Source organism: Homo sapiens, chromosome 22, assembly GCF_000001405.40.
Source record: "Homo sapiens chromosome 22, GRCh38.p14 Primary Assembly".
NCBI lineage: Eukaryota > Metazoa > Chordata > Mammalia > Primates > Hominidae > Homo > Homo sapiens.
Genome location: NC_000022.11, coordinates 43,334,520 through 43,343,620, shown reverse-complemented (window position 1 = coordinate 43,343,620; position 9,101 = coordinate 43,334,520). Strand labels below are relative to the sequence as shown.

Here is a 9,101-nt window from a genome sequence, read left to right as displayed (position 1 = left end):
GCCTCCAAGCAGCCCCAGCCTGGCCTAGACCCCGCGCCTAGCGAGCCGGCCGGCCAGGCCCACACCCCCCACCTGCCGCCCGCCCCAGGGGAAGGGTCCCCCCGACGACGCCCGAGCCCCCCTCTTCCTCGGAGGGCCGGAGGCCGGCGCCCATTGGCCGGCCCTGGGCGACGCCCCGCCCCTCCGACGCCACGGGCCAATGAGCGCGCGCTGTCAGCTCATCAGCCGGGCTGGCTGGGCGGCTCGGGAGCCCGAGCGGTGGCGGAGCGGCGAGCAGCGAGCAGCGCCTGCGGGAGCGGCCGGTCGGTCGGGTCCCCGCGCCCCGCACGCCCGCACGCCCAGCGGGGCCCGCATTGAGCATGGGCGCGGCGGCCGTGCGCTGGCACTTGTGCGTGCTGCTGGCCCTGGGCACACGCGGGCGGCTGGCCGGGGGCAGCGGGCTCCCAGGTAAGCCCCCGACCGAGGTGGGGGGCGGCGGGCGCGGGGGGCTCGGGCGGCCGAGGCGCGGTCCCGGAGGGCTTCTTCCCCGCGGATCCCGAGCTCGCCCCGCGCGGCCCCGCGCCCCCTGCCTCTTTGCAAAGTAACTTCTAGGGCCGGCCCGGGGCGCCCCCTCCCCGCAGCCCGGGCGGCCGGGGCTCCTGAGTCCGGCGGGGCCGCACCAGGGGTGGGTGGGCCGGGGCCCCGGGAGGGGAAGCGCGAGCGCGGGAGCGAGGAAGAAAGGCGGCGGTTCCCGGGGACCCCGCGTGCGGACCTGGGCGGGGCGGGACCCCGAGCGCAGAGGGGCGCTCCTCCTGGGAGAGGGGGCGCGGGGCGGGGCGGGCGGAGGGGGACACGCCAGGAGGTGGACGGGGAAAGGGACGGACCGAGAGACCGGGACGGGGCGGGAGGTGCGGGACAGACGGACAGAAGAGCCGGCGCCGAGGGAGCAGACAAAAGGAAGCCCGGAGAAAAGACAGATGCGGAAGGGTAGAGAGGAGGCCCGCACCGCCCGGGGAAGGAGGAGGAGGCCGGTGGATCAGGGGGAATCAAGAGGGATGGTCCCACCGATGATAAGGGAGAGAGAGAGGAGGAGACGGGGGACAGATGGACGCCGCAGAAAAACGGGGTTGGGGGGGGCGGTGAGAGGGAGACCGGGAAAGAGAGAGGGACAGAGATACCTGGAAAGCCGCAGACGAGGGACCGGGACCGTCTGACAGGACGGGGAGGAAAGACAGAGGGAAGGAAGGCAGAGGATCCGGAGGACAGACACAGGGAGGAGAGTCCGGACGCGGGACGTCGGTGGAGCAGACCCAGGAAGGGGAGGGGGAGACCCGGAGGCCACAGGCCCAGGCCCGTGGGTTTCACGGGGACCCCCCCACCCTCCCACCCGGTCCCCTCCTGCTCTCTGTCTTCAGGGGCTTCCCGAAAAGCTGGAGTCACATTCTCCCCTCCTCGTCATCAGAGGCGCTTCCTCCGGTGCTCTGCTTGGAGGGGGAGGCAGGGGGAGGGTCCTGCACGTCCTTCCCGGCTTCCTGAGGTCTGGTATGGGTGGCGTAGGGTCTATTCCTGGTGGTCCCGCGTGCCCCGAGTGAGGATGCTGGGCCTGTGAGACTCTTCCACAGCAACACCCCTCCTGGAAGCCCAGCCCTGCTGCCCCATCATCCCCCTTGTGTCTGTGGGTGTCTCTCCCAAGCTTTGGGGTCCCTCACCTCTGAGTGACTGTTCCTGGGCGTGCCTATCCCCACCTGTGTCCCTCCTCGTGTCTCTCTGTATCTGACTCTGTCTCCTCCACGACCCTCTCCGTGGAAGCCCTGTGACTGTGAAACCCCAGCAGCATGTCCCCAGCATAAGCAAACCAGAGTCAAAGGGAGCAGCCTGTGCTAGGAGGGCTGGGTCGCCCTGCAGGGGAGTCTCCAGCCCAGACAGGAGCGGGAGCATGGCAGAGAACCGATGGGGACAAGTGGCTTCTCCCTCTCTCTCCTCAAACTCCCATGTCCTCTCCCCACACTCCACACCAAGGACACCCAAGTGTTTAAAGGTGTGTTGGGAGATAGCTCCACCCACCCCTCATCAACATCCATCCATTTCCATTCCAGTGAAGACACCTGCCTAGGTGGGAGATTAGGGGTGAGGGCACAAGGGGCTCCCACCCCTCATTCCTACATACTGGCCCCTGGGAAGTGGGAAGAGCCATATCTGTGGCCCACTGCCCCTGCTGGTCCTGTCTCATAAGTGACCCCAGTCCTCCCAAACAGAAGCCTGGAGATGGGCCCTCTCTGGCCTCTGGGTCCCTGCCTTAGAGGCAGTGCCAGTCCTGCACAGTGTCCCTCTGTTGCCACTTCCCCAGAAGGCCCTCATGGATGTTCCTGCTGGCCCAGCCATCCAGTTGCCGGCTGGGCCCCCTCCAGTTCCTGCCTCCTTGTCCCCTTTCCACTCTTCCCCTGGGCAGCTGTCTAGGACAGGCCGCCCACCTGAGCAGATGGGTAGCCCCCCCCGGAAAGCAATGCCACCTGCCGTGTGTGTGCGCACACGTGCATGCATGTGTGTGTGTGTGTGTGTGCAGGGGGGTCATGCTGTTGTGTTTCTTGTTGATGCCTCTCTTCCTTCAGGGGTGGGCAGGAGACTTAGGGGCTAGGGCAAAGAAGGAGAAGCCCTGGGGGGCATGGATCTCATAGGCCCCACTGGCAGATTTCGAACCCAGATATTATCCAGGGGAGAAATTTAGAGTGGACACTCTTGGGGACCCAGCAATCTAAGGTGAGACCAGAGGCATGAAGAGATGGGGACATTCCAAGCTTACCCCTGGGGCACTGCCCTCATGGCAGCTGCTGAGAGTTCCTTGCACTGCTGCACTCCTGGGTCCTTCTGTCTGTCTGTCATGTCTACATTTCATGCATTGCTAGCTAGAAGTCACATGGCACATAGGAAAGCTCATTCTGTGTCAGAGTCCAGTCTCAGCCCCAGTGAGCTACTGACCCATAACAGATTTCACCTCACTGGGCCTCATTTCCTCATCTATAACCTGAGGAATCAACCTGGATTATAGGTACAGCTCTGACTGTGCTGAACTGTGCCCGACAAGAGGCACGTCCCCTCCCTGCCTGAACTCTGTGTGTGTGTGTGTGTGTGTGTGTGTGTGTGTGTGTGTGTGTGTGTGTGTAAAAGAGACAAGGAGAGAGGCTTGGGGTGTATAGATGGAATGGATACACAGAATCTATTTTGCACAATTTGCCCCAACAGCTGTTCCAGACTGAAAGTGTATATGTGTTGGGGGCAGGAGGTAGAGAGTGTCGGGAGCCCTCAAAGCCTAGACTGAACTTGCATTTATAAGTTGGGACATGAAAACCAGGTTCACGTGTGGATTTCCGAGGAGGGAGGACCATGTGGGGAGTCAGAACCATGGATGGGCTCAGGTTAGCCCAGTTGAGGGTGTGGTTCTGCCACCAGACACTTTGGTGTGGGGGCGTGGAAGCCAGATGATGAATCCCGTGTTTCCACAGGCTAGGGGCAGGGTGGGATCCCACGTTCAGGTGACCTGCAGGAGCCTCCTGGCATGGCCTTGGTGTCCCCATCTGGAACCCAAAGGGACTAGATTTAAACTCCTCCAAGGACCCTTCTGGCTCTAAATTCTAGAATGAGGAGAGTGGGGGGAGGGTTGGAGCTATGCTTTGGGGGGGGTAGAATGAGGAGAGTGGGGGGAGGGTTGGAGCTATGCTTGTTGGGGGGGTAGAATGAGGAGAGTAGGGGAGGGTTGGAGTGATGCTTGTGGGGGGATAGTGAGGAGAGTAGGGGAGGGCTGGAGTGATGCTTGTGGGGGGATAGAATGAGGAGAGTGGGGGAGGGTTGAAGCAATGCTTGTGGGGGGATAGAATGAGGAGAGTGGGGGGAGGGTTGGAGCTATGCTTGTGGGGGGTAGAATGAGGAGAGTGGGGGAGGGTTGGAGCAATGCTTGTGGGGGGATAGAGTGAGGAGAATGGGGGAGGGCTGGAGTGATGCTTGTGGGGGGATAGAGTAAGGAGAGTAGGGGATAGAGTGAGGAGAGTAGGGGAGGGCTGGAGTGATGCTTGTTGGGGGAGTAGGACAGACGGAGGAGGAGGTTCTTCCTCACTGTCTCCTTAAGCCTCAGTTTTCTCATCTTTTTAGCAGAACAATAGCTCAATGGGATGGTTGCGACAATAAATAAGGCCAAGCGTATTGATAGCATTGTCCCTGCCACAGAGTAGCTGCGCCAAAGATGCTACCAGTTGCCACTTGTCACACCAGATTGTCCTGTGACAGCTGTTATTGCCAATGAGCCCACCGATCAATGGACGGGCAAAGGCAAGAGCTCCCCCTGCCCTACACTATCGGCCACCTGCCCTGGGGCCACACCTTACCTCTTATTCCCCCCACACCCCTACCCACAGGGTCAGTCGACGTGGATGAGTGCTCAGAGGGCACAGATGACTGCCACATCGATGCCATCTGTCAGAACACGCCCAAGTCCTACAAATGCCTCTGCAAGCCAGGCTACAAGGGGGAAGGCAAGCAGTGTGAAGGTGAGTCCAGCCCGGCCCTCCCGGGCAGACCCTGAGGCTGCCAGGGCTGCTGTAGGTGGCCGATGCCTGCCCCATTCATCACCAGCTGGGGCTGAGCCTCCAGCACCACCATTGTGGTTGCTGACAGCACAGGCTTCTCTCAGCCTCAGGAGGGAGGCAGTGAACTTTTCGGAAATGCCGGCTGCTTCCCTGGAAGGGTGGAGTTAGAGTCATGGGGTGCCTGATTCTCAACTGGGCTTGAAACTTTTTGTTCTTTTTAAGAAATTGGCTGGGTGCGGTGGCTCACGTCTGTAATCCCAGCACTTTGGGAGACCGAGGCAGGCAGATTACCTGAGGTCAAGAGTTTGAGACCAGCCTGGCCAACATGGCAAAACCCCATCTCTACTGAAAATACAACAAATACAAAAAAAGTTAGCCGAGCGTGGTGGTGCATGCCTATAATCTCAGCTACTCGTGAAGCTGAGGCAGGAGAATCACTTGAACCCAGGAGGCAGAGGTTGCAGTGAGCCGAGATGGCGCCACTGCACTCCAGCTTGGGCGACAGAGCAAGACTCTGTCTCAAAAAAAAAGAAAAGAAAGAAAAAGAAATTAAGATGAAGCATTGAATGAGGTATTTGTGCATCTGTCCTTGACTGGCTATATGGGGGTGGAGTGCAAAGACCTGGGCTTGCCCCCCGACCCCCAGAGTCCCTAACGTCAAGTTCAAAACCACCCTGTAGGTCTCTGTCTCAAGTTCCAGTGCTTGGACAGACACTGGTGGATTTGTGCCATCTGTCTCTCCAGCCTTTCTGCCCTGCACCTGGGGTGCTGGTTAGCCCTCCTGCTATTAAAAACTGCCTCCCCAGCAGGCTAAAAGTTAGAGAGAAAAGAGCAGCTCTGGCTGTGTTTGGTGCCAGGACTCTGCAAGCCCATTGGAACCTTTGGAGCTTTTGTCCATGAGAGTCTGCATGGCCGTCCTCACCCCATGGGTCTGGGGCAGGACTGGGCATCTGGGGGCTGGAAATAGCTCTCTCCGAGACAGACAGACACCCCTGGATGGGATCACTGATCCCAGTCTTCCCTGTCTGCACCCATCGTATAAATGAGGAAAGCTGAGGCTCAGACAGGAGAAGCATCTTTTGCAAGATTCCCATGTTCACAGTGATATGACAAGGACTGAAATCCAGGTCTTGTAACTCCCACTCAACAACTCTGGCAGCTAGTTTTCTTCTCCCTGGGCCCTGCCAGCTGAATTTTTCCAAGTTTGATATTTGTATTAGGAAAGTGACATGGGAGCACAGGATGGGTCCCTGCTCTTTCTGTATAAGGCGTTTACAGGGCTAGAGTTTTGTGGGCGATGCAGCCACTCCTCCCTGGGATGCTGGTGGTGTTTATCCTTCACATTTGTTGAGCATTTATTTAAGGCTGAGTGCTGGGCAGATGACATCGCCCTGGATCATGCCTGGTTGGGTAATATTCCTGGCACGCTCAGGGCCCAGAACCCAAAGTGGGGAGCTGGCGCCTACCCACAGACCTCTGGAAGGAGGCCAGGCTGGAGGCACACAGAGGAGGCCATGAGTGAGAAGCCTGGTGGGGCGGCTGGCCCGGCTGCTGGCAGGGCCAGAGGTTAGCTCGCTGGTTCGAGTGGTACATGTGAGGCTGGTGTGACCGCTTTCTGACCCTCTACTCTGCCTTCCAGACCCAGTGTCCCGGAAAGGCGGGGCCATGGTTGACCCCCCTATCTCTGCTGGTTTAAGCCACTGACCTGGCCTCTTCCTTCCCAAGCCCAGCTCCTCCTTAGGCCCTCTCCTGCTGTCCCCTGCCCGGGAGGCCTTACCTGTTTCCCTAAAATTTTTCGGAGTTCAGCTTTAACTCCTTACTCTGCTTGACCCCCGAGTTAGGAGTCAGACTTTTGTCCCAAGCCCAGCTCTGCTGCTCACTGGCTCTGTAGGCTTCATGTTCTCACCTGCTAGAAAAGGAAATTGTTTTGTCCTGCTGGGTATGAAGATGAGACAAGAGGAGGCTTGTGAATGTGCTTCGGGAACTGCCAGGGGTCTCCCTATCTCTCCAGCCAAATTCGGGCCTCCACCCTTCACATCCTGAAACACTGAACAACACCTCTGTCCTGGCACATGCATGCACACACAGACACACACACACACACACAGACATACACACAGACACACATGCATGCACACACACTTGGTTGCTCTATGTTTGTGAGCCCCAGCTCAGATTTTCCGCCTGCCTGGAGCTCCTTACCTTCTTTCTGTATCCTGTCTAAATCTGAAGGCTAATCATTCTTTAGGTTTGCCTCCTCCAGGAAGCCTTCTCTGATACCTCCACTTATATACACACACTTACACGTGCACACACATGCATGCTAGACTGCAATGGGTACCTACCCTGCTCCCAGAGGCTTCTGGGCTTCCCTCCATCATCACACTTCTGACTCTAGGTCATAATTACTTGTCTTGGTCCCCCACAGAACTGTGAGCTCATTTATTGAGGGCCCACCATAAGCTTGCTGTAAGGGCCACCATACCGAAGCTGTCAAACTCAGGCCATGCCCCCAGGAGCTCCCAGTGAGCTCCTCAATTAGAGGTTCTTTTACATTTGTAGCCGTGTTCCCAGCTCACGGGGCAGGGCCTGGCACTAGCGCGGGTCTGCAGAAAACATTTAGTCTGAGTTGGCTCTCCTTTGCCCGGACAGGACTTCACATTAGATGAGCAACCTGTAAGATATCCACAGAGGGGAGTGCGGAGTGTGGGGTCTGTGGAAGGGCTCGTTCTGGCCCTGGTGTCATCTTGACCCTGTGCAATGAGACAGAGGAAAGCAGAGACAAGGCTGGTCTCTTCGAGGGGAGCCTGGGTTGCAACCCACCTCTCATGTGAACATCTGGGTGGTAACTTGCCCTCACTGAGCCTTAGTTTCTCCTTTGGTTGTGCGGGCCAAAAATACTCCCCATCACAGGTCAGCCTGAAGATTGAGTGAGGCACAGTATAGTGCACTGGGGGCTGGCATCCAATACACAGTAGGCACTCATTCCGTAGAGTGTGCTCCATATACAGATGGCAAAGTCTTCACCATGATCCTGTCATTATCATCATCTGCATTATCACCATCATCATTATCATCATCATCACCATCATCATCATCACCATCATCATTATCATCTTCATCACCATCATCATCACCACCATCATCACCATCATCATTATCATCACCACCAACATCACCATCACCATCATCACCATCACCATCATCACCACCATCATCATTATCATCATCACCATCATCATCACCATCATCATCATCATCACCATCATCATCACCATCACCATCACCATCATCATCACCATCATCATCATCATCATCATCATCACCTGTTCTCACTAGCTGTCAAAGTAGTTTCAGGCTCAAATGAGACTATGAATGGTGAAGACCTTTGAAAATTGCTCAGTTCTGCATACCTGGGAGGTGATAGTTATGGTGCAACATAGTCCTTGGTCTCCAGAAGCTTGTGGTCTGGTGGGGCTGCATGAGCTGGAAATTCCTGATAACAGACTTAGGGTAGCATGGGTCATGAATCAGTGTCTGTTGAGTTGCCATGTTAACAGTATGAGAACAATTGTTAGGAACCAAAAGGAGGACATCGTTTGGTTATGGGCTTCCTAAACCCTCAGTGAGTGAGTGTTGGCATGGATTCTGGAGGCCTGTGTAGACCCTGTTCTTTTAGCACTCTGGTTTTCTCATCCCTGGGGACCTACTTACAGTCATCAATTTGAATCAAGTCAGCCTGCCAGAGTGCTCACATATATACCTCATACCCCCAACACATAAACACGGAGAACCATCAGATCCCTGCTGGCTTCTCTGGGAGGACTATGGAGAGACAACTGGGGGCTCTGAAATCTGAAGGGGCACCATGTGCAGCAGTGGCCTGAGGGAGCTGGGAAACCATCCAGATGTTCACATCCTTGGTTTACAGATGGAAAAATGGAGGCCTGAGGGGGCAGGGTCTTTCCTGGGTGGGGACTAGAGCCCAGGTTTGACAGACCTGTTTCTCCACACTGTGTTTCTGCAGGTGGTTATTCCTATCTGTGGCTTTCTGTTCTGAGAAGAGGGTGTTAACAGCCTCTATTAAGGTCAGCTTAGGAGTTAAAGCATTGACTTTGGTGCCAGATGGCTTGGGTTCAAATCCTGCCCGTGTAGCCTGGGCAAGTCATTTAACCTCCATTTGTTTATCTATAAAATAGGCATAATGTTAGTACTTATTTCATACAGATAGTGTGAGAATTAAATGAGTTAATGTATTTAAAGCCTTTGAACATAGCTTGGCACATATGATGCTGTATATAAGCACTAGCTGCCCTTACTGTGATGATGATGACGGTGCTATTGATGATGAGGGTGATGGGGGTGATGATAATGTTGATGGCGATGATAATGTTGATGGTGGTGATGATAATGTTGATGGTGGTGATGATAATGTTGATGGTGGTGATGATAATGTTGATGGTGCTGTTATGGTGCTGTTGATGAGGGTGATGATGATGGTGATATTGATGATGATGGTGCTGAAGAAGATGATGATGATGTATC

General features: G+C 56.1%; 1 protein-coding gene across 1 annotated transcript in view; it reads left to right on the top strand.

Annotated features, from left to right (window-relative positions):
• Positions 249–9,101, top strand: part of SCUBE1 (signal peptide, CUB domain and EGF like domain containing 1) — a 146,093-nt gene continuing 137,240 nt past the window's right edge. The window contains exons 1-2 of the mRNA NM_173050.5: positions 249–447; positions 4,386–4,517. Coding sequence (NP_766638.2) covers positions 360–447; positions 4,386–4,517 — 220 coding nt within the window. The 5' untranslated portion in view covers positions 249–359. The remainder of the gene's footprint in view (positions 448–4,385; positions 4,518–9,101) is intronic.